This window comes from Homo sapiens, chromosome 5 (genome assembly GCF_000001405.40).
Source record: "Homo sapiens chromosome 5, GRCh38.p14 Primary Assembly".
Classification (NCBI taxonomy): Eukaryota; Metazoa; Chordata; class Mammalia; order Primates; family Hominidae; genus Homo; species Homo sapiens.
Window position 1 is genome coordinate 77,435,994 of NC_000005.10, and position 25,799 is coordinate 77,461,792.

Sequence of the window (25,799 nt, forward strand, 5' to 3'; positions counted from 1 at the left end):
CCTTACTGTCAGCTATCTCCAGCTCCTAAATAATGGTGATTAAGACCATTCTTAAAAGCAATGCATTCCTTGTTTCCTCAAATCATATATCCGGAAAGGGAGACCCTAACTGCACATACTATAGCCTATCCCATTCCATGTTCAGATCTGACAAACACCTACAGATATAAGAAAAAGTATATGCCTTTATGAGATCAACTGAAAGAAAAGAGCAATGAAATGCAAAAGCAGGAGTTGCTTGGACATTCTGTGGCTAAACAGCAATACCTCCACAGATGATGAGTGTCCAATCAAATCTCCAATAAGCTCCAGTGAACATGAAGTAGCATTTTCTTGCTGCTTTTTAACAGGTTGGCTGGCTTGTTTGCTGACTCTTCCAAATCCCCACATGTTAAAAAAACCTAGAAAAAGAATCATTTCCAAAATTACTGTGCTCTGTACTTACAATAACATGAGATCAGAAAAACAAAATTTAAATGTGAAGAGGTTCCAGACTTATTTTAGTCAAGGGCTAAGTGGACAGTACCTGAGCACCGTGCTAGGGTTTTGTGAATATGTTATTTCATCTTTCTTAGCTAACCAGGTCTGTTCTTCATCTCTTTTTATTGCCCCTAGTCACCCACTGGTGCAGGTATATTAACAAAAAGACACTTGGAATAAAACAGGACAGAAACAAAGCTTGAATGGCAGTGTCTAACTGTCAAGGGAAAAAAGGGCAAAACTCAGATCAACAAACAAGGCATAGGGGAAAAGCTGTATATGTATGTGCAAAAGCAACACCCCAGGACTTCAGGAAGTCAAAAGGACCAGAAACAACTAGGTACCAGCATCTGATTTCTTGTGCAAAGGTTGGTAACTAATTTATTCAACCCTTCAGAGTTTTGTTTTTCAAACTAAACACCTGGAAGTCAAGAGCTCATAAAATTATGATATAAGCACACAAGGAAAAGTATGTTTTCCCATAAATTAAGTTCAACATCAAGGGTAAAGAACACTTTGGTTTGACATCTGACGGTACAAATTTTGTGTATCAGTCAGAATTATAGACAATATAAATGAATACTTCATTAGGCCATTTGGTCATTCAGATTACCAGAAAGTAAGTTTTCCCTCAAAACAAGAAAATCTCTATCTTACTTGAAATGAAGTGGCAGTTCTACATTAGGGCAGTATTAAGCTGTAAATCCTAGATCTCAATTACCATATGCTTTCTATAAACATCTGATGCCTATTTGGAGCATTTCTATATTATTTTAGTGGTTTCACATAATTGTCCTTCTCCTGCCTTTCACGTGAGAAAAAAGGAGAGAAAAAGACTACCTTTTTGAGAGAAGACACACACCTGTTGGTACAGGCTCAGCTGCAAGCTGCTGTTTTTCTCTTAACTCCCAAATGCGTACACTGCCATCTTCTGAGCATGAGATTAACTGCCTGTCAGAACAGAAAATCAGTAATACAAAAAGAGCGCACCACTGAGGGCCAATGCTAAATTTGCAGTGAAAGAAATCAGTGGAGCCCTCAACTGCTTTTATTCAGCTCTTAGCAGGAACTGACAAAAATCACAATTTAGCATGACGTTACAACGCAAACTAAAAGCACCCTTTAGGAAAGCCACATGTTACTCGTTACATTAGCTCAAATGCTATAAATTGATTCTCTCCATTTAAAAAAATGCCCTTGGGAAAACAGTGTGAATTATACTTCACAATGTCCTAAGCAGCCCCCTTCCCTCCTCTTGCTACCTCTCTTCTCTGGGTGCTTCACTATAAAAATATCCTGCATAGAAAATAATGATAGTCCCTGTCCATATGTTCGTCCCTAGAAGCTCAGCAGCAAATCTACCCTGACAGGAAACCACTCACTTAGTAGCCTCACACAACAAGGAGACCAGCAACCATTTGATTCTGGCCATAAACAAAAAGAAGGTAGGTTTATGAGAAATATAAAAATTGGTACAATGTAAGTGGCCCCAAAGTCGTTTATGTTGTTAAATACCAAATTTTAAATCATCTCTTCTTAACAATGAAATTCAATGTAATTCATTTGCACCTTGCTTCTTGTAAATTCTGTAATATACTGCCACATACCCTTCTGTTAGAGACAGCCCTCAGGCATTCTCCATTTCCAAAAGAACACAGCAGGTCAAGCCATGAAGCCAGGTAACTTGGCCACTTGAGAAATTACACTGGTAGCCCTGGGAACTGTGACTTGCTTTCATCTATTGCAGAACAGATGGGAACTTGTACCTGTTTGGAAGTCTGGCAACGTGCAGGACATTGGAGTCATGTGCAGTTTTCTGGCAGGCAATCACACGCTTCATTTGAAGGCTATACACGTATAAACCCCTTCCAACTGCAGCAAATACATTCTAGGGGAAGAAGTTCAGAAATGGGCATAAAACTAGCACTCACCCTTCCTAGTGTAATGGATTTCCAGCCCTCATGTGACATCAGAAAGCCACCATTACCTTTCCCATTCCTAGCCTTTAGCCCAAATTACAGTACTAATCTCTGAAACCCCAAAATGTCAAAGCACTAAAGAAAGCTCTGAGCATTTAGAAGGTAGGACACAACCACTAATGCAGAGAAAGGTAGGTCTGCATAGTATATCCCTTAGCGCCACTTCTTCCTCACTGAAATATATCTAGAGAAAAGCTATAGCTAGCAGCCTGGCCCTGCAGTGGAAGCTGTTGAGGGATAACCTGAGTTTTCATTTAAATAACACTATATCCTTGGGAAAATTACCTAGCTTCTTCTGCCTGAAAAATGCAAGCAAAATTACTTGCATTCCACATCTTAAGCAATCAGGAGACCTACAAGTGATACAAAAAAGCACGGCTACAGTGGCATTATCATCATGCAATCCTCTGAAGGTTTCAAAAAACATTTTTCCAAATGTACTATTAGAAATAAATACCTTTTTACTAAAACAACTTTAATCTTTTGAAAGCATTTTCACTAATACTTATCTCACTTCAGCCTCACAACATCGTGTTAAGAAAGGCAAGCATCATTGCCATTTTCCAGATAAGGAATTTAAAATTAAAGAGATTAAAGTCACACAAGAAATGAAACATGGAGTCAATATTAGAATCAAGGTCATGTTACTCCAGTCCCTTGCTCATTCCTCACGTGACTCACATGCAGTAGTAGCCTTTGAAATTTTTGCAAGCACCTGTCCTAGAATCATCCATTCTTACTCAATAGATATCCCCATGAGGCAGACCTTTCAAATATCCCTACATATTGCCTTCTTGTTTTCACCAGAGATTCTGGGCTCTCCAACCTTTCTCACACAGCCTCCAAGACTACAAACTCAACTCAGACCTATAGTAACTGAACCAAAGCATGCCCCCAAGGCTTGCTGGAATCTTAAATCTTGAATGATCCCCTTGACTCTCAGGATTAGTACTCTGCAATCAGCAATGCAGCCGAGGCCCAATGCCAGGGCATTAATGAACACTGCTAGCCAATGTACTAAAATGGAAAGCCCTGTGGATTGTATTCAATGCCAAAATCCCCCGAAACTCATTCTATAGACCAGGAAATCTGGGCACAGTTTAAGTAATTTATCCAAGGTCAGGAAGAAAATTATAAACACAACTAGAGAATTCATGAGCTTTGGAGGCAGCATTTACTCAATGGGGATGCTATCCCCGCTATCAATAACTAACGGTCCCTTATAGAAGGAAAGAACTCACAACAAAAGAAGAAAAATTAGGGAAAACTATACAATGCTTTATCAAGCATATATAGTAGAAAATAAACATCAATTAAAAAATTTAAGATTAAAATACAAAACTTTTAAATATTAATTTTCACAAAAGTGAGAAAAAACATGTAACATTTAAAATAGATAATTTGTAGGGCTACAACTCTTAGTGATCTAGTCTCTATCTTTTCTGAAACCATACTGTCTTTATCATGTATATTTAACTTTTTTCAAAATAAAGTTGGGATACAAAGAAACAATCTTTGAATATATTAGTGTTTCTAAGTCCTGTTCCTATCCTAATCTTTTGTTTTGTTTTTAAAGAGTGGTACAAAGAAAAATGGATCATATTCTCCCCCCACTACATAACACTACTACTGAAATTTTTAATAAAAATAACGTGCATGCCGTTAGAAAAATTAAACAGTATAGAAAGTCACAAAATAGAGAAAAGCCTCCCCAACTCCTTCTCCTCGAAGGGTACAATTCATAAACATTTCTTGTGATTACATTTAGAAAAGTTAATTGCCCTTTAAAAACATTTTCTGAGCCCCTGATGCTAAGAGATTTGTTTTTTCAGATCAGAGATAAGATTCAGTAGTCCATTGGTACTAATCTCTCACAGCAAAACAGATCTAAAGTGCTTCAAGAGCATCACTCCCAAGTCCTATAAGATGGAATCCAACAATTCTCACTCAATTTATCTTGCCCCAAGATGCCAGCAGACTGAGAAACACTCCTAAAATTTTTAATTTTCTTTGCCTCACTAGGAAATGTGTCAGATCTTCAAAAGAACTCTTTTTCACAGTGTTTCTTAAAACAATTTTAAGCATTAACCTCAAATCCAATGGGATTATTTAATCCAACCCAAAATTTCAATAATTTTTAAATCTGTGGCCATTTAATCATTTCCTTGCCTCGAGATTAGAAGCAAAGATTAAAATGCTTAACACAAATCATCCAATTTTAGAAAAAGACCATTTTAAAGCACAACCTGAAACCATGAATGATACCTTTTTTATGTCCAACATGGGATTAAATTTTTAAAATCAGAAATTGGGTTATATATGTCAAAGGCAAGTTTATAGATAGTGTATACATTTTTTACCTCTTCATCACATGTGAAATGATGAATAGAAATGTCATTTGATTTTTGACAGAGTTTTATTTCTTGTTGGGTGTCCAGTTGTGGAGATGGGTCCCAGAAGTTGCGTTCATAGGCCTGCATGGTCCAGTCCAGGGCATCCCAGATGATCAGCTCTCCGACGTGGGAGCCGGTGACAAAACTCAAATCTAGGCAAAGTTCACATATGCCTCATTATCGATCATTTTATCTATGTAAAGATATAACTGAATGGAATGTCTAGTAGTAATGCCGTATAAAACCACAGTAATTAGAACAGTGAGGTACCTAGGCAAGCCAACAGAAAGATTAATGTAACAGAATAAGAAGGCCAGAAATAGACTCAAATTATCTTAGTAATTTAGTATGTAATAATGATTGCATTTCATTTCAGTAAAGAAATACCTCATGCTGGAATATCTGGTTACATTTAAGGGGAATAAAAGTAAAAGAACCTTATCTTGTACCATACACCAAAATAAGTTTCAAATAGATTAAAACATGAAAGTTAGTTAAAGGATGGAAGAAGATAAAGGTGAATACTTTTAGGAATGTGGAGTGGTAAAGGGCTCTAACGGAAGCAGAGTGGGGTGCCAGGGGAAGAGATCCTAGTAAGTAGCTGCTTGGCAAAACAAAAACAAGGACCGGGCGAGGTAATCCCAGCACTTTGGGAAGCCGAGGCAGGTGGATCACCTGAGGTCAGGAGTTCGAGACCAGCCTGACCAATATGGTGAAACCCCATCTCTACTAAAAATACAAAAATTAGCCGGGCATGGTGGTGTGCACCTTAGTCCCAGCTACTTGGGAGGTTGAGACAGGAGAACTGCTTGAACCTGGGACGCAGAGGTCGCAGTGAGCTGAGATCGCGCCACTGCACTCCAGCCTGGGCAATAGAGCGAGACTCAGTCTAAAACACACACACACACACACAAATACACTGAAATGACAAAAAGCTGGGAAAAATTTGCAACTTGGATGACAAAACAGGTTTATTATACTTGATACATAAGGAGTTCTTGGAAATTATTAAGAACAAGATAAATACAGCAGAAAAAAAAATGGGAAAAGGACCTGAAAAGGCAAAACAAATACAAATGGTCAGTAAACGTGAAAAGATGTTCAACTCCTTTAATAATCAAAGAAATCTAAAAACAAGGAGATACCATTTATTGACTTGTGAATCAGGAAATATAAAACAGGAAAATACCCAACACAGTACTGGCAAAAGCATAAGAAATCAGCACATTCCTGTATTGCCTAATGCCCTACTATACATTAGTATTTTTTTCAAAGATTAATTTGCTAATATGTATCAAAACCTTGAAAAATGTAAATCTCGATCCAACAATTCCACTTCTAGGAATTTATCCTGAAGGAAATACATAAATGTACAAGGTTGTTACATACATATATGTACAAATACACAATCTTAAAAATCTGAAGATAACTACACATCGAATTGAGAATTGAATAAGACATCAACAAAATGAAATAGTAATGCTGTTATTAAAAATTAAGTTATAAAAGTATGCTTAACAATATAAACTTAGATATGGAAATATATTTATGACATATTGTTACAAAACAGTAAACCATATTAATACACATGTACACACATACATAGGCCCAGAAAATCACCTAGAAAGATGTGGACTGGTGTTTAATACTGGATAGTGGAAAGATTTTAATATTAACTTTTATATTTTTAATGTTTTTCACTATTTTCATATTTTTCTACTATGACTATGTATAACTTTTACAAGTTTTTAAAACCTTTAAAAAAAGCCGGGTGCGGTGGCTCACACCTGTAATCCCAGCACTTTGGGAGGCCGAGGCAGGTGGATCACGAGGTCTGGAGATCGAGACCATCCTGGCTAAAACGGTGAAACCCTGTCTCCACTAAAAATACAAAAAATTAGGTGGGCGTGGTGGTGGGCGCCTGTAGTCCCAGCTACTCGGGAGGCTGAGGCAGGAGAATGACGTGAACCCGGGAGGCGGAGCTTGCAGTAAGCCGAGATCGCGCCACTGCCCTCCAGCCTGGGCGACAGAGCGAGACTCTGTCTCCCCAAAAAAAAAAAAAAAAAAAGGATTTTTTTCCATTTTACATATTATTTATTTTACACACTATATATTTAATAGAAAATGTACAACTGCTAGTCTTATTTCAAATAAATGTAATTTATTTAAATTATTACATATTTAGGGTAAGACAGAAGACTATAATGCACTTAGTCTAGAAACCCAAGTTCTGATTTTGGCTCTGCCTGTTGCTAGACAGGTGGTCTTTAGGAAGTAGTTTAACCTTTATCTTGGATTCTTCATGCATTAAATGAGTGACTAAAAATCAAATTGAATAATAAACGTGTAGCCATTTTAAAAAGACATCAAATATTATCTTTGCGCCCCTGGTAGTATTTTGAGCCCCTGGTATTATTCCACATTAATCGTATTAAAACATCCTGTTACTTGTTAATTTAGGAATATACAGATGAGTAATTATGATTTAATTATTTCATTTATCAAATAAACCAGCACGACAGAAATCTCTAATGACCACATGAACAATCTCTTAAGAGATACAGAATTACCAGCAATCCTACATGTAAATATTATTTGTCTTGACTCCAAGGCCATAATAGGTAGATTATTAATATCTAATTTCTATAGTTTATTAACAGACTCTATAGAACTTGCTCTGTGGAGAAATCACTTCTCATCTGTGGAGCAAAACGGGCTTCTAGTTTTAGTAGTGGGAAAGTTAAGGCAGTACTCATCTTCCCAGGACCTTCTTTCCCACACCTTTCCCTCCTTTTTCCTATTTCATTCAAACTACAAAAGAACCAGAGAAGCTAAGGAGTGAAGATTCCCCTTGACTCTCACTCTGCATCTGTAGTCACAACACAGAATTAACCTACTGAGACCATGCAGCTGCTTGCTCTGACTTAATCCTCCAAGTGTCTGTGATACCTCCATGCAGTAGAAACAAAATATTAATGACCAGTTGGAATTTTCCCTAAAAATAAAATACGGCATTCAGCTCAATCAGCACTTTTTTTTTTTTTTTTTTTTTTTTGAAATGAAGTCTCACTCTGTCACCCAGGCTGGAGTACAGTAACACAATCTTGGCTCCCTGTAACCTCCACCTCCCAAGTTCAAGCAATTCCTGTCTCAGCCTCCTGTGTAGCTGGGACTACAGGCATGTGACACCACACCTGGCTAATTTTTGTATTTTTAGTAGTGACGGGTTTCGCCATGTTGGCCAGGCTGGTCTCAAACTCCTGACCTCAGGTGATCCACCCACCTCAAGCTCCCAAAGTGCTGGGATTACAGGCGTGAGTCACTGCACCTGGCCAATCAGCACATATTTTTAAGCAGTTTACACATGGCAAACTAATTCCCAAACAGGTCATTCAAAATGTTTCATGACAAACAACCTCAATTATATATTATTAGTGGATGGATTTTCATCCTGTGTCAAAAGCCACTTAGTATGAAAATCTCACCTGGTATCTGTCTATCCATCCCTCACAAGTACTAGTACTTCATGATTACCAAAAGATGCTGGCAACATAATACAAGAAAAGGAATAAAATAAAGGAGCACCCAGAGCCTTCTGCCTGGAGAGATTATCAGTTATTTTTTGTCTGTCTTAGAAAACCTTCTGCCTGGGCATTCCAATCTTTTTAGCAAATCTGGTATTCATTATCCACACTTGTTGGTATTCTCTCATACAATTCTAAGGTTGCCCTGGGGCCACCCCTCTGAAAACAGATTTGCCCTGTGATGTACAATCCCAAGCAACTGGCCATATCTTTCATTGGTAATGGGTGAGGAGAAAGGAGCAGAGCTCCTGCAAGTGAAGCAGGGAACTGTACAACATAAACATTTCAGGATCACTGACATCCACATCATGGCTAACGTGCCTATGTACTGCAAGATGAGACTGTCAGCAGATCATTTTCAAATTTTAACAGACTACTTGGTCATGTTTGATTCCTAAATACGCCTTTGGCTTATTTATTATCTGTAGTATAATTTTATAGTCATAGAGTTTATAAAGTAAAAAGTACTAATCCAAAAGCTAGAAGAAGACAAGAAATAACTAAGATCAGAGAAGAATTGAAGGAGACAGAGACAAGAAAAACTCTCCAAAAAAATCAATGAATCCAGAAGCTGGTTTTTTGAAAAAATTAAAATAGACCACTAGCTAGACTTATAAAGACGAAAAGAGAGAAGAATCAAATAGACACAATAAAAGATGATAAAGGGGACAGCACCACTGATCCCACAGAAATACAAACTACCATCAGATAATACTATAAACACCTCTACACAAACTAGAAAATCTAGAAGAAATGAATAAATTCCTGGACACATACACCCTCCCAAGACTAAACCAGTAAGAAGTCGAATCCCTGAATAGACCAATAACAAGTTCTGAAATTGAGGCAGTAATTAATAGCCTACCAACCAAAAAAAGCCCAGGACCAGATGGATTCACAGCTGAATTCTACCAGAGGTACAAAGAGGAGCTGGTACCATTCCTTGTGAAACTATTCCGAACAACTGAAAGAGGGACTTCCTAATTCATTTTATGAAGCCAGCATCATCCTGACACCAAAACCAGGAAGAGACACAACAAAAAAAAGAAAACTTCAGGCCAATATCCCTTATGAACATCGATGCGAAAATCCTCAATAAAATACTGGCAAACCAAATCCAGCAGCACATCAAAAAGCTTATCCACCATGATCAAGTGGGCTTCATCCCTGGGATGCAAGGCTGATTCAACATATGCAAATCAATAAACGTAATCCATCACACAAACAGAACCAATGACAAAAACCACATGATTATCTTAATAGATGCAGAAAAGGCCTTCGATAAAATTTAACATCCTTTCATATTAAAAATTCTCAATAAACTAGGTATTGATAGAACATATCTCAAAATAATAAGAGCTATTTATAAGAAACCCACAGCCAATATCATATGAATGGGCAAAAGCTGGAAGCATTCCCTTTGAAACCTGGTACAGAACAAGGATGCCCTCTCTCACCACTCCTATTCAACATAGTGTTGGAAGTTCTGTCCAGGGCAATCAGGAAAGAGAAAGAAATAAAGGGTATTCAAATAGGAAGAGAGGAAGTCAAATTGTCTCTGTTTGCAGATGACATGATTGTATATTTAGAAAACCCCATCATCTCAGCCCAAAAAACTCCTTAAACTGATAAGCAACTTCAATAAAGTCTCAGGATACAAAGTCAATGTACAAAAATCACAAGAATTCCTTTACACCAACAATAGACAAGCAGAGAGCAAAATCATGAATGAACTCCCATTCACAATCGCTACAAAGAGAATAAAGTACCTAGGAATACAGCTAACAAGGGATGTGAAGGACCTCTTCAAAGAGAACTACAAACCACTGCTCAAGGAAATGGGAGGACACATATAAATGGAAAAACATTTCATCCTCATAGATAGGAAGAATCAATATCATGAAAATGGCCATATTGCCTAAAGTAATTTACAGATTCAATGCTATTCCCATCAAACTACTATTGACATCCTTCAAAGAATTAGAAAAAAAACTATTTTAAATTTCATATAGAATCAAAGAAGACCCCGTATAGCCAAGACAATCCTAAGCAAAAAGAACAAAGCTGGAGACATCACATTACCTGACTGCAAACTATATTACAAGGCTACAGTAACCAAAACAACATGGAATTGGTACCAAAACAGACATATAGACCAATGGAGCAGAATAGACACCTCAGAAATAACACCACACATCTACAGCCATCTGATCTTCAACAAACCTGACAAAAACAAGCAATGGGGAAAGGATCTCCTATTCAGTAAATGGTGCTAAGAAAACTGGCTAGCCATATGCAGAAAACAGACACTGGACCCCTTCCTTACACCTTATACAAAAATTAACTCAAGATGAATTAAAGACTTAATAAGACCTAAAACCATAAAAACCCTAGAAGAAAACCTAGGCAATACCATTCAGAACACAGGCATGGGCAAAGACTTCATGACAAAGATGCCAAAAGCAACTGCAACAAAAGCCAAAGCTGACAAATGGGAACTAATGAAACTAAAGAGCTTCTGCACAGCAAAAGAAACTACCATCAGAGTGAAAAGGCAACCTACAAAATGGGAGAAAATTTTTGCAATCTACCCATCTGACAAAGGTCGGTCTAATATCCAGAATTTACAAGGAACTTAAATTTACAAGAAAAAAACAACCCCATCAAAAAGTGGGCAAAATATGAACAGGCACTTCTCAAGACATTTATGTGGCCAAAAAACATATGAAAAAAAGCTCAACATCACTGATCATTAGAGAAATGCAAATCAGAATCACAATGAGATACCATCTCACACCAGTCAGAATGGCAATTATTAAAAAGTCAGGAAACCATAGATGCTGACAAGGCTGTGGAGAATGGGAAGAACATTTTTACACTGTTGGTGGGAGTGTAAATTAGTTCAACCATTGTGGAAGACAGTATGGCGATTCCTCAAGGATCTAGAACCAGAAATACCATTTGACCCAGCAATCCCATTACTTTGGGAATACACCCAAAGGATATCAATCATTCTACTACAAAGACACATGCACATGTATGTTTACTACATCACTATTTACAAGAACAAAGATATGGAACCAATCCAAATGCCCATCAACGATAGATTGGATAAAGAAAATGTGGCACATATACACCATGGAATACTATGCAGCCATAAAAAGGAATGAGATCATGTCCTTTGCAGGGACATAGTCATGAAGCTGGAAGCCATCATTCTCAGCAAACTAACACAGGAACAGAAAATCAAATGCCGCATATTCTCACTCTAACTGGAAACTGAACAATGAGAACATATGGACACAGAGAGGGGAACAACACACACCAGCACCTGTTGTGGGGAAGGGGAGGAAACTGAGAGGACAGGTTGATAGGTGCAGCAAACCATCATGGCACACGTATACCTATGTAACAAACCTGCACATTCTGCACATGTATCCCATTTTTTTAGAAGAAATTTTTTAAAAAGATAGTAAAAAACAGTAAAAAGTGCATGAGGCTTTCTGTAACTTTCATAAACAACTTTTTTCTTTAGTTTTCCCTTTTTTCCCCTTACGAATTTGGCAAATGAATACTCGAAGAAAGCTTTCAGAAACTGCTGTAAGTTCCTCTGCATATCACATGGTAAAAGACATGCCATGAAGTTCAGGCTATCTTGTATCATCCTATCATCTTCATTTAAGTAACCATGCTGGCTCAGTGGTGCCAGTGCTTCACTGCTAAAACAAAATAACTAAGCATGACCGGTGTAATGGGCCGAATACTGCTGGGCTTTTCTCAGCAGCCCTGGGAACTTGAGACTTAAGACTCAGTGTCACCAATGAGGCTTCAGAGGGCTTCCCAAATAAGAACTTGCCTTCTGTGCTGTCTCCATCCATGGCTAGAGAAAAAGAGCCCCCAGAGAAAATTAAAGGGACACCAGCAACCATTGTTATTTCTATCAACACAGACAATCTAGTCCTTAGAAAGACCTGCAGCTGAGTTTTACAATAAGATGGCTATTTGGGAGGAAGATTTTGGAGCTGGGAGGGACACTCTTACTGGTGTATCTGAACATGTGACTGAATGGACACAAATGGAGACTAGACTTGGTACTCTCTGTGTCCCTCGCTCCCCTTTGTCTCACATTCACGCAAAATACTGCTTAAAAACAAAGCCGGCCGGGCTTGGTGGCTCATGCCTGTAATCTCAGCACTGTGGGAGGCTGAGGCAGGTGGATCATGAGGTCAGGAGTTCGAGACCAGCCTGGCCAATATGGAGAAACCCCGTCTCTACTAAAAATACAAAAATTAGCTGGGCATGGTGATATGCGCCTGTAGTTCCAGCTATTTGGGAGGCTGAGGCAGAAGAATCGCTTGAACCCGGGGGGCAGAGGTTGCAGTGAGTCGAGACCATGCCACTGAACTCCAGCCTGGGCAACACAGGGAGACTCCATCTCAAAACAAACAAACAAACAAACAAACACAAACAAAAAAAACAAAGCCAAGCCAGGCCTCAGGGAGATATGTTGCTGGGGTGCTGTCTAGCCCTCCCACTACATCATACTCCCAAGCAGCCTTACAGGATCGTCCTGCAGGCTCCACCAGACTATCAAACTGAAGCCACCAAAAGCCCTCTCATGTGACTTCATACACAGATCACCCAGCACAGTTCTGATGATATAAGCTGTCACTTATCTGCAAGTGAACTGAATGTCAAGATCAGTGGTTTGTGATCTTGCCATCTGATGTCAGATTTAGCTCACAGGAGATACTCATTAAAATCATTTAGGAAGCCAAATAGGATGTACAGCAGGTCAAAACCCCCACCACGAGGAAGGAAGGGAAGACATGACCCATTTTCTGCAGACTTTTACTTTAGTTTGGTATTATTCTTTGAGAGTCTTCAACCAGGATTACAACTGGCTTGAATCCTGCTCATTCTAGTGTAAGTGTGTAACTTGCTATGTGATATTGTATGGTGTGGACAGCAAGACAAAAGGGCATATTTCCAATCTCTCTACAAAAGAGGAACTAGCCAGAAACAGCTGCCAAAAATGCTGAAACAGCCTGTGACAGTCATCCCACAGCTACCAAGCAGTGCCTGAGATCATTATGTTCTCCTCTATTTTCTCTGCCTTACACTATTTTCCTTGTCCCTAAATCTTAGACCTAGCAATCTAGGAAACTTGCTCAGCTCCACCGGCTAAAACTTCAGAGTAAAAGAGAATGACAATCCCATTATTTTAGTGACTTATTCTAGAATCCCAGAACTAAGCAAGGCTCGTGTTCAGAGCAGGTTGTGTTAACAAGCACAAAACTGTACATAATAAATGTACACAATGAGCTTACCATTGACATTAATCAATGAGAGAATATTATCCTGGTGATCAAGGAGGCGCTTAACTTCAAGAATATCCCATTCTAGTGATCCTTCTGTGGGTGCTACCAACCTGAAAATTACTAAATGAAAAAGACAGATAAAATTTTATTACAATGCTCTAAGAGGATAAAATACTACTCCTGCTCTAAAAACAAGCATTTCATTAAGTGAAAAATACCTACCATACTGAAAAACCCATCTCCAAAAAAAAGCCTTATTCATACTACTTTAAACTATTTCTTTCAAATGCTTGAGATGTTTGAGATGATCTACTAAAACCCATACTGAATGTGTCCTGAAGAACTCTCTTCCTTTACTGACTTTTCCAAACAGTGAAGCTCCCATTCTCTCTAGGGTTTCAACGGATGTCTTGTTATCTCAACTCACTCCCTCCCTAATCAGTGACTAGCCCACATCCCTCAATCACCTCCAACATCAGCTTTCTCTACTCATGTCTCTTACTCATGTAAGCATTGCGACAGAATAAGCTGCAAATCCAAGTTTAACTTCAACTCAGTGAAGACATAAGCAACTTCTTTTTTAAAAAGCTTCTGATTCCTAGGCATATACCATTAAATTATAAATTCTCTGAGTATGTCTTATAATGTTTATATATCATACAGTTCTTCTGACTATAGTAATGTTCAATGTGTTGCTTTACTCATTATCTGACTTTAACAAATACAGTTTTATTTAAACTAGTATAAATCCTAACTTTAATCAATACAGAAAACCCATAATAAAATCCACAGACGTGATTCTATCATCATTTACTAAACATTTATGTTCCAGGAACTCTACGTACCAAATGTGAATAAGGCCCAGTCACAAATGCTCAGTCTAGAGTGGGAGAGAGACTTGTTTATAAACAGGCTTACCGTCAATGTACTGAGTGTTTTAAAAATACACCACTGGACCAGGTGCTGTGGATGCTCAAAGATTAGCATCACTAACATCTGAGAAGTGACAAGTCTCTGAGATCATGTCCTTTTCAAATTACGAAAGTATCTTTTCTTTCTCACATTTCTCTCTAGAAGATAGGTCATGCCATGCTTCTTTCTGTGTCTCTGACAATATTTTACCAAACTACAAATCTCTATCCAGGTTATTTAATCCTGACAGCTACTCATATTCAAACTGTGGTTGTCAAAAGAAGGTTTTTCAGTCAATAGAAAAGAGAACTCTTTCTGATACACATTGAACTTATGGGAAATTCTACTTTAGTTGGAATATTATGAAGTGATCTTGAGACTGGAATTTTGGAATAACAAGCAATAAACTGTTTAACCAAGCTAACATACTGATTAAAACACTGATAAGAAAAAGAAACCTGGCCTAACATCCTGAAAATGTCTTAGTCTCTGTATCACTTCAACAATCCCAAGAAGCCAAGAGTGGGGCACACGCAATGTCCCTTAAATAAAAAATTACTTTAGTCCTTCCAGCATGTGTATACAATTCTCGTTCAAAATACACAAAAAGAAAAAAATTCATACTCACTCAGTTCTTTGCCAACTGCTGCCACAACACAGTTCTTAGGTATTTCAACCAAAGCACTAATACCTCCAAAAACATATAAAACAAAGTTCAAATTATTTTTCTCACAGATTATATCAAAAACAAAAACATTCTCAGTTTTATGTCAGTCGTTTTCCATAAAGAAGATAAAGCACACAGAACTAGCTCCACACACACTTCCTTGCTTGCTTACTAATGGAAAATGATTGTTAAATGTAGGTTTCTGAGACTTTTGGAAGACATTATTGATTTATTAAGAGCAGAATATGGGGTTGGGTTTTTTTGTACTTTTTTTTACTATTGTGATAAAGTGGTAGATTCAGCAATTCACACTTATTTACCAGGGATCCCTTAAGATAATCACCATCACCCATTTACAAGATGGCTAGCTCAAAAGTGATGTAAAATTGGGGTTTTCCTTCATGTAAACTTTAGAAGCCTGAGCAGGCTCCCTGGCATTGAATGAACTAGCCAACAGTCAGCAGCTAAGAAAGCAGCCTTCAAATAGCATGTTTGTGATCCACTAATACATGTAAAATTTTTCTTCTATTAATGAAAGAATCAGATTCAACATTCTAACACACTTCACTTATTTAAGTAAAGAGGTTAATGATTTTAGCGTAACTATAACTTCTACAAGGCATGTTACAATTTTGCTTCTGTCAGTATGAATAAAAGAGTTGATAAATTAGAACCACCACGTGTTGGCAAAAAAAAAAACCTGTTTAATTTTTCCATTATGATATATATGTAATTTATAATATATATGCAAGTGTAGAAAACGGTCTAGTCATTTGCTTATCCTTCCCATCCATCAAAGGACTGACTGTTGTGATTTGGATAGTATTTCTGGCCAAGATTTTTCTCCACATAGGCATATTTTAACAGTAGGTTTTGTATTTTCCCATGTACAAGAAGGAGGAAATGGTGCTGCAAGGAAGGCAAAGGAATGGTACAGAGAAGGCAGAGGACATGGGAGAACAGCAGGGTGGATAGCAAGAGAAGAATTCTAAATGCAGAAAACAGCTTGTTTAAAAATCTTTCACTAAATTATATGTGAAAATACTAGAAGCCCAACAATCCAGATGTAGCAACCTAATACTCAGAATCACAAAACATATTACTGGAAAGGACACGGATGCCCTGTGTTTTAGTCCAGGGCTCCTTCCATTGTATCACATTGACTAAGATTGTCTTTGCTTATTTCCAAACACAGAATAACTGCTTGTAAAAGCTCCACCAGTCCATAAATCAAGCAGGGCTTATGAAAGGACATCATGACATAAGGATCTAATAACACTATTAACAATCTGGCCTCCAGTAATTTGGAAAACCCAAATGATGAACAGCTCACCAATAGTAACCCATGGCCTTCTCAAGGCTTTCCCATAGATACCCTCAAAGCCTTCTGTTAACTCTTGAGACACTGATAAATGGCAGTATTGTAATGATTTAATATATAGTACTTAAACATAACTTGCAAAACAAAGGGAGACTGCAATAAGAGGTGGCTATTTCCAGGAACACACAGAAGATTCTTTTCAGCCCCAATTTCAACATTTTACAATATAACTTTACCAAAATAAAATTCATGAAAACCACAGGCTAGTGAAAGAGAGAGAAAAATGAACATAAAGACACATAATTCATGATAATAGTAAACAGGGAAATATATTCTAGATTTGAGCAAGACTATTAGTAATCAAATGTTGAACTGAGTGGTTAAATTGTAAACCCTAGCAATGTATGGATTTAGTTTTCCTAAGTCATTATGTTTCTGATACTTTAAAATATCTACGTGGAGCTAAGCTAGCTCCTATTAGTAACTAAATTCAATTCACAGGGCTCCTGCTACCACTGAAATATCAACAACATGCACAACAATGTTCCTTCTAGGATACCCAGGCTCATTTGATTATTTTTAGAAATAACAATAGTTAGTGTGACTTCAAGGTTGTTATTAAAATCTACTCATTTAAATATTTTACTCTAAAAATAGATTTTATTTTTTAAGATCCTTGGTATCAAAAAGTCAAAACTGATTTGATTATTTTTTTTCTGTTGAAACCAAAATCGTATGTACACAGAATTGTGAGAAAATGAAACTTTATCAGTAAGCTTGCACATGTATGATCTTTTTGGTAAGGACAATTGTAAAAAGAGGTCATCCTTAGGCATTTATTCAAAGTTAATGACCCCACAAATGCTACTGTAAAGTCGTAAGGGTCTGCTTCTAGGTATCAGCGTGCTCACCAAACACAGTTCAGGAAAACAGCCCAAGAGCATTGGAAAAGGTTGTTCCTGAGTGGAGTCTTCTCCTCCTGATTCAGGATAAAAATATATTTTACACAACCCCGATCTGAATTGAATATGGCTACCTGTTATCTTCAGAACTGAAAAAGAAAAATCCCCTATATTGACCTTTCTACTTATGGAAAGTCTCTCTGAAGATCTGCTGTGTCTTCTAGTCTGTCAATCATAGTTCAAAATTACCTTGATGTTTTTTACCTGTATCAGAAAGGTGGCTAGTCTTACACAGGAGATCTAATTTTCGGTTCCACACACACAGGTCATTCCCACCAGAAAGCCAAACATCTAGTCTCTGAAGAACAGTTAAACACTGCAAAATTTATTTGAAATGTATATCAGGTTAGAAACTTAAGCAGTCATTGTTCAGTGGTTTAAAAATATATCCACAAGTTCTTTAACCCCTTCCTTCACTAGGTGGAGCTTATTTCTCCTTAGTAGATCATGTGGGCACTACTAAGTGACTAGCTTCTACCAAACAGATTCTGGCAAGAGGAATGGTGTGTGACTTACAAGACTAAGTCATAAAAGATACTGTGGCCTCCTCCTTGTTCTCTCTTGGATCACGTGCTCTAAGGTGAAGACACTAAAGCAGTCACATGGAGAAAGGTCCATGTAGCAAAGAGCTGAGGCTTCTGGGCAACAAACAGCACTAACTTGCCAAGCACGTAGGTGAGCCTCCTGGGAGGCAGCTCCTCCACCGCAGTCAGGCCTTCAGATAGCAGGAGCCTCAGGAGAGGCCCTGAGCCAGAACCACCCAGATAAGATGCTCTCTAGTCCTAATCACAAACACTGTGAGATGACAAATGTTTATTGTTTTAAGCCACTAAGTTTTGAGGTAATTTGTTACTCAGTAATAAATTACTAATACACAATTGCTTAAACCCCTTTTTAAATCAAATTGAAACTATGACCTTAGTTTCTCTGTATCTTTAGAATAAATAATGCCCAAGTCTTCTCAATTCTATACATTTGGTAGTCAGGAAAGTGAGTGTTTCAAGTACCATATAAGCCCTTTACCTTTAATAGTACTCTCCTCGCCCACTGACTCTGAGTCAGACAAGGGCAAGAGCGAGAGAGAAGAACAGAAAATAAAAGGCAGAGGTTCTGGTAATCTTGCCTAGGCTGCTTTTAAAACTGTTGGATTAAAAAGAGTTGAAAATAACCAATGCAGTTTATATTTCTAGTGGTCCTACCCTGTCTAATCTCTGAATTTTTAATGCCAGTGTTTCATTTCTTTTTATTGCCAAATAGTATTCCACTGTGTGGATATACATTGTGTTTATTCATCAGCTGATGGACATATAGATTGTTTCCATTTTTGACTATTATTAATAATGTTGCTATGAACAATCATGTACACATTTTTATATGAACTTACATTTTCATATCTCTTGGGGATATACCAAGGAGTAAGACTGCTGGGTCAAATGATAATTCTGTTTAAACTGTTTTCCAAGGTGGCTGTATTGTATCATTCTAGATCCCACCAGCAATGTATGAAGGTTACAATTGCTCCACATTCTTACCAACACTTGTCTTTTAGATATTAGCCACTCTAGTATGTAGGAAATAGTATTTCACTGTGGTTTTGACTTGCATTTCTCTAATGACTAATGATGTTGAACCTCTTTTTCATGTGCTTATTTGCTATTTGTTTATCTTCTTTGGAGAAATTTCTTTCTTTCAAATCTTGTCTATTTTTAATTGGAGTATTTGCTTTTTTATTGAATTCTTCATATATTGTAGACACAAGTCCCTTATCAGATATACAATTTGAAAATATTTTCTCCAATTCTGTATGTTGTCTTTTCACTTTGAAGCACAAAAACTTTTCATTCTGATGAGGTCCAATTTATCTTTTTTTGTTGTTTGTTGATATGCTTTTGATATCATATTTAAGACACCTAGCCCAAGGTCACAGAGATGTACGCCTATATTTCTTCCAAGATTTTTGTAGTTTCAGCTCTTACATTTGGGTCTTTGACCCATTTTGAGTTAACTTTTGGATATGATATGTGGTAGGGATAAAATTTCATTATTTTGTATGTGGATGTCCAATTGACACAGCATCATTTTTTGAAGAGACTATTCTTTCTCCCATTAAAGGTTCTTGGCGCTCTTGTCAAAAAATCAGTTGGCTATGTGAGACTTTACTTCTGGGCCTTTAATTCGGTTCCATTGATCTGCATGTCTGTCATTATGCCAATATCACACTGTCTTGACTACTGTAGCTTCATATTAAGTTTTGAAATTGGGAAGTGTGTCTTGGAACTTTGTTTTTCCATTTTAAGATTGTTTCGGCTATTCTGGGTCCCTTGCACTCCCATATGAATTTTAGGATCAGCTTGTAAATTTCTCAAAAAAAAAACAACAAAAAAACAAGCCAGCTACAATTTTGATAAAGATTGGGTTCAATCTGTAGATCAATGTGGGTAGTGGTGGAATCATAACAATAGTAAATCTGATCCATGCACTCAGGATGTCTTTCCATTTATATAGATCTTTAATATCTTTCAACAATGTTTTGTAGTTTTTGGTATATAAGTCTCATACTACTTCAAATTTCTTTTAATAGTGATGGGGTATTGCTATGTTGGCCAGGTTAGTCGTGAACTCCTGACCTCAAGCAATCCTCCCACCTTGGCCTCCCAAAGTGCTAGGATTATAGGCATAAGCCACCCCGCCCAGACTAAATCTATTTCTGAGTATTTTATTCTTTTGGATGCAACTGTAAATGGAATTGTTTCTTAATTTTTGGAATGTTCATTGCTAGTGAATAGAAATACAATTGATTTCTGTGTGTTGATATTATATCCTGAAACCTTGCTAAATCCATTTACTAGCCTCAATAGTTTGGTTGTGGACTTAGGATTTTCTATATACACAAGATCATGTTATTTGGGAATAGAGACAGTTTTATGTCTTCCTTTCCAATATGGATGTCATTTATCTTTTTTATTGTCCAACTGCCCTGGCTAGAACCTCCAGTACAATGTTAAACAGATGTGCTGACAGCAGACATCCTTATCTTGTGCCTGATCTTTGGGGGAAATTATTTGTCTTTCACCATTTTTAAAAATTTTTATTTTATTATTTTTTTTGAGACAGGGTCTTGCTCTATCGCCCAGGCTAGAGTGCAGTGGCACAATTACAACTCACTGCAGCCTCGAACTCCTGGACTCAAGTGATCCTTCCACCTCAGCCTCCCAAATAACTGGGATTACAGACATGTGCCACCAGACCTGGCTAATTCTTCTTTCTTTTTTTTTGTAGAGAAGTTTCACCATGTTGCTCAGGCTGGTCTTGAACTCCTGAGCTCAAGCAATCCACCCACCTTGGTCTCCCAAAGCGCTGGGATTGCAGGCATGAACTACCACACCCAGCCTAGCCTTTCACCATTAATACGAAATTAGCCTTGAGATTTTCACAGAAGCCCTTTATTAGGTTGAGGAAATTCTCATCTATTCCTAGTTTGTTGAGTATTTTTATCATGAAAGGGTGTTGGAGTTTGTCAAATGCCTTCTCTGTTTCTGTTGAGATGATCCTGTGGTTTTTGTCCTTTATTCTTACTATGGTGTATTTCACTGATGAATTTTCAGATGTTAAACTAAGCTTATTCCAGGGATAAATCTCACTTAGTCATGGTGTATAATTCTTTTTAGATGTTGCTGAATTTGGTTTGATAATATTTTGTTGAGGATAATATATGTTTTTGTTACTTAACATTTTACCACTAGCATTTTCCTCTTTTAATATTCTTCTGAAATATAAATTTTAGTATATATATCTACCATAATGTATTTTCTTATAAGACATTTAGGGCACTTCCAATCATCCATTTATAAAAATGTATTTGTAGTACACATTTCTGTTCATAAATTTCTGCCCTATTTTCTGATCATTTCCTTTAAAGAGTTTTCTAGAATGATCACTGGATTAATGCATATAATAATTTATTTAGATTCATTCATAATGCCAAACTACCTTCCGGGAAGATCATATCAATTTATAGTCTCAATATGCAATAAAATGCCAATTTCACTATCTCCTTGCTAACATCAACCCTTATAAAAAATTTTGTTAGTTCAAAAAATAAATGATAGTATTTCTCATATTAGGGATATAAATTTCTTGGATAAACTATCTATTCAAGAACAACTGAACCACTGAACTAAATGAGTGCAATGCTATTTTTTAACAATTTTTATGTGAAACAGGATCACAGCAGGAGAAAACAGACACAAATATCTAGCTGATTCACATTACAGTAAAACCCCTTTTAAAACTACTTTCACTATATTGGAATAAGATACTTTTTTAGTGACCAGTTCCTATAACCAGTTCATAACACAGTTTACCAAAAGGAATTTCCCCCAAATACATTAAATTTTTTTCTCTTTGTTCCTTCAAGCCACATATTTTCATTGGAAACTTAACGACCTTAGTTTTTCAGGTAGCAAGAATATTTTTAAAGGAATGTAAAAGGCACATCATTTCAGGTCACATAAAGTATAGAGATTTTAATCAAATCAATACTTTTTAATGCCTTCTTAAAAAATCCACTGTTAAGTTAGATAGAAGTATATATAGTACATGGCACTTTCTTCCCCTGAAACTTGACTAAGTTGATATTTTGAACAGCACAGTGCCATGAGATGGCTACCAGAGATTCTGCCTTTTTGGGAAAAGATCAACTATTCTACCTATTGGCACACAGCAATTCTTTTTACATTAAGAAAAAAAAGAAAAGAGCTCCAATATGGAGATCAGTTATCCTTAAAGTAAATGAGGGAACATCTACTGCTACTACTATCTTTTCCAAAACTTGCTTACATTACTAAAAAACAGTGGCACTTTCTCTGAACACTTAATTTCTGTAGGAATCACAAGCAACCAAGTCTTATCTATGTTTGTTTCTCTAAAACGTAGCAGAGCTTCTGTCATATCATTAGCCCCAATTAATAATTGTTTGTAAAAGGAATAAACCTAACAGTAACAGCAAATTAGCCAGGTAAGATTTTTAGTTTTGAAACTAAGTAACTGACATGTCTTGCCTTTGTGACCTTAGAGAAGGCAAAGGTCATGGGACAAATAGCTCTATATTTTAAATTCAAAGTATAAAGAAAACAGACCAGCTACTATTATGGTCATTCTACAAGTAATATCTCTTCCTGGAACTACCTACAAAAAACATACCAGGTACTACCTTTTTTCCTTATCTTGCTATTGGGATTATCCCTTGCTCTAATTTCAAATTGAAACATTCTAACACTTAATACATGTGCTCTCAAAAATCTGATCTTACACGAAGCAAATGACTACAAGTGTGTGGAAAGAAATAATTCATAAGACCCACAAAAGTAATTTCGTCTAACTCTTTAAACCATGTCTTCTGAGACAAAAATAGATTGTCATAAAAACTCATATTTACTTAAGATTTTACCTTTACAGTAGACTGGAAGCATGATATTCTCTGAACTTGTCTGGTAGTATCACCATCCCACACCTAAATTTATGTTAAGAAATAATTTCTAAACAGAATTTTAAAATCTTAATTATAACTTTTCTAATTAACAATTAAGCCACAAATGTTAAGCAGTTAGAAAATCTTTAAATCAAACATAAAATATTTAGTGTTTATACCACCACAAAAATGAATTCATATAGTGAGTCATCAACTTAGCAAAGCAGGCTTATAATCTAAAATAAGTTTGAGGTAAATTTTACTATCAAATTATTTGAAAATGCCAACATAATGAATGGTCTGAAGTACTGAATCTTTACAAGCACTAAATATTCCAACTGTTTAAAGTTTATTCTCCAGAATAGCCCACCATAATCTAATAAGCATAAAGTACTTATACCAAAAACTATCATGTCCATTAATATTTACTGAAAGCTCCCTATAATATGGATAGCATGATTTACTACTGTTATCTTGATTCGAGAAGACACTAACAGTGTATTACTATTACCTGTATGTGCATTTAATATAATCAGAGGGCCTCTCATAAAACATCCAAGTTCAGTTTGACTTAAGCACAGTGATTTTCAAACTTTTACACCATTTCCTATAGTAAGAAATACATTTTACACCATGTCTGAAAACACATTTACATACATGTATGTACTACGTATACAAATGTATATGCATGTATTAAAAATTGAAACTAATTTCACAAACTAGTTAACCTTATCATGGCCAATGCCTTTTGTTATATTTTTATTATACAGATGTGCCTTGACTTAAAGTAGTTATGTCCCACAATAAACCCATTCTAAGTGGAAAATATCCTAAGTCAAAATGCATTTAACACATCTATCAAACATCATAGCTTAGCCTGGCCTAACTTATATGTGCTCAGAACACTTACATAAGCCTATAGTTGGGCAAAAAAAAAAGTCATCTGGCAACACAGTACACTGTAGAGTAAGGCTGTTTACCCTTGTGATCTTATAGCTGACTAGGAAGGAGCTGCAGCTCCAGGCTGCTGCTGCCCAGCACTGGGAAAGACTATCATCCCATGCATCACTAGTGTGAGAAAATATCAGACTTCAAAATTCAAAGTACAGTTTCTACTTAATGCACCTCCCTTTCACACCATCATAAAGTTGAAAAACTGTAAGTCAAACCACCCTAGGTTGGGGACCATCTATATTCTATGTCATGCTTTAGATGGAGCTAGATTATCATGAGAATTACATTTTATGTATATAACACACTAAAACTGCTAGCATACAAAAAATGCTCCCAGTAATTAGGAAATGTTTTCTGGCCTTATATTTACCAGAATTCTAGTAGTATCTCACAGCCTTTTCACTTATTTCACTATTCACAAGCAGAACATTTAATATTCAGTAACCTGAGCTCCTAAGGCTATCGCTTTAAAAAATTATCTACCTTCAGTATTTAATTAAGGAAGTTAGTTTTTACAGGTTGGGTATCCCTTATCCAAAATGCTTAAGACCAGAAGTGTTTCTGATTTTTTTTGGATTTTGGAATATGTGCATATACCTAATGAGCTATCTTGGGGACTGAACCCAAGTCTAAACACAAAATTCATTTATTTTTCATATACACCTTATACATATAGCCTGAAGGTAGTTTTATACAATATTTTTGGTAATTTTGTGCGTTAAACAAAATTTTGACTGCAACCTGTCACATGATGTCAGGTATAAGATTTTCCACTTGTGGCATCACGTCAGTGCTTAAAAGGTCTTGGATTTTGGAGCATTTCAGATTTTGGATTTTCAGATTAGGGATGCTCAACCTGTAGTAAAAACCCAAGCAGAGTAAATTTAGAATTCATTTGGGTAAGAGAGACTGCCAAATAAGCGGCCTAGAATTTTTTTCTAACAACAAAAATCACTCAGCAAAGGAAATGAGTCCATACTATCATTTACAGGTAAAATTCATAGTGACACTGTACCAGCTACTAACTTCTGTATGTAATTTTAATCACTGCCTCAAAATATTGCTATAGTGTCTTAGGAGTGGTCTAATAGAGTATTTTAAATTCTATTTTTGCAAAGATTACACTGATACTGAAAAAGAGAGCTTTATCCCATATTTGCCTCTACAGAGTAGTAATAAAGCAACTCTGACCTAACCATCTGAGAGAATTTTATGCCCTTGTTTACATTGTATCATAATCACACACAAACATACATATATGTGTGTATGTATATATGTATGTATGTATAGAGAGTTTATCCCCATTTAAACCTTTTCTTGACATTTTTTCAGCTATGAACAATCTGTCTAGAAAGCACTTCAGTTGATGAACTCATTTAAAGCATGTTCAAGTCTGTATCTTGGTTCTGTAAGAGCCTAAGAAACACCTATACTTTTGGGCTTACTCCAAAACTTCACCAATGCTTGAAAGTGTTTACACAGAACTTTCAGATAAGCATATACTTTTAAAAATTAATATGACCGGAAACAGTGGCTCATGCCAGTAATCCCAGCACTTTGGGATGCCAAGGCGGGCAGATCACGAAGTCAGGAGTTCGAGGCCAGCCTGGCCAATATGGTGAAACCCCGTCTCTACTAAAAATACAAAAAAATTAGCCGGACGTGGTGGCAGGCGCCTGTAGTCCCAGCTACTTGGGTGGCTGAGGCAGAAGAATCACTTGAACCTGGGAGGTGGAGGCTGCAGTGAGCCGAGATT

The 25,799-nt window shown here is 36.7% G+C and overlaps 1 protein-coding gene across 9 annotated transcripts in view, besides 1 other annotated feature; it reads right to left on the reverse strand.

The window, feature by feature from the left end:
- WDR41 (WD repeat domain 41) overlaps positions 1 to 25,799 on the reverse strand; it is a 189,645-nt gene that overhangs the window by 5,061 nt on the left and 158,785 nt on the right. For 5 of the 9 annotated variants that reach the window (XM_011543505.3, XM_047417350.1, XM_047417349.1 and 2 more), the window contains 8 exons: positions 23,069 to 23,131; positions 17,824 to 17,935; positions 15,298 to 15,360; positions 13,767 to 13,877; positions 4,820 to 5,004; positions 2,247 to 2,368; positions 1,343 to 1,431; positions 268 to 401 (listed from right to left, as the gene is read on the reverse strand). In XM_011543505.3, the coding sequence (XP_011541807.1) occupies positions 268 to 401; positions 1,343 to 1,431; positions 2,247 to 2,368; positions 4,820 to 5,004; positions 13,767 to 13,877; positions 15,298 to 15,360; positions 17,824 to 17,935; positions 23,069 to 23,131 (879 nt within the window). Of the gene's footprint in view, positions 1 to 267; positions 402 to 1,320; positions 1,432 to 2,246; positions 2,369 to 4,819; positions 5,005 to 13,766; positions 13,878 to 15,297; positions 15,361 to 17,823; positions 17,936 to 23,068; positions 23,132 to 25,799 lie in introns of those variants that run through there. The other 4 variants (XM_005248552.4, XM_047417351.1, XM_011543507.3 and 1 more) reach the window with 4 other exon arrangements.
- Positions 20,700 to 20,875: a silencer, noted in NCBI's record as "fragment chr5:76752518-76752693 (GRCh37/hg19 assembly coordinates)". NCBI's record gives its function as "represses an EF-1alpha promoter that drives an FKBP-Casp9 reporter gene in an ReSE screen in K562 erythroleukemia cells {active_cell/tissue: K562}" and the evidence as "EXISTENCE:reporter gene assay evidence [ECO:0000049][PMID:32094911]".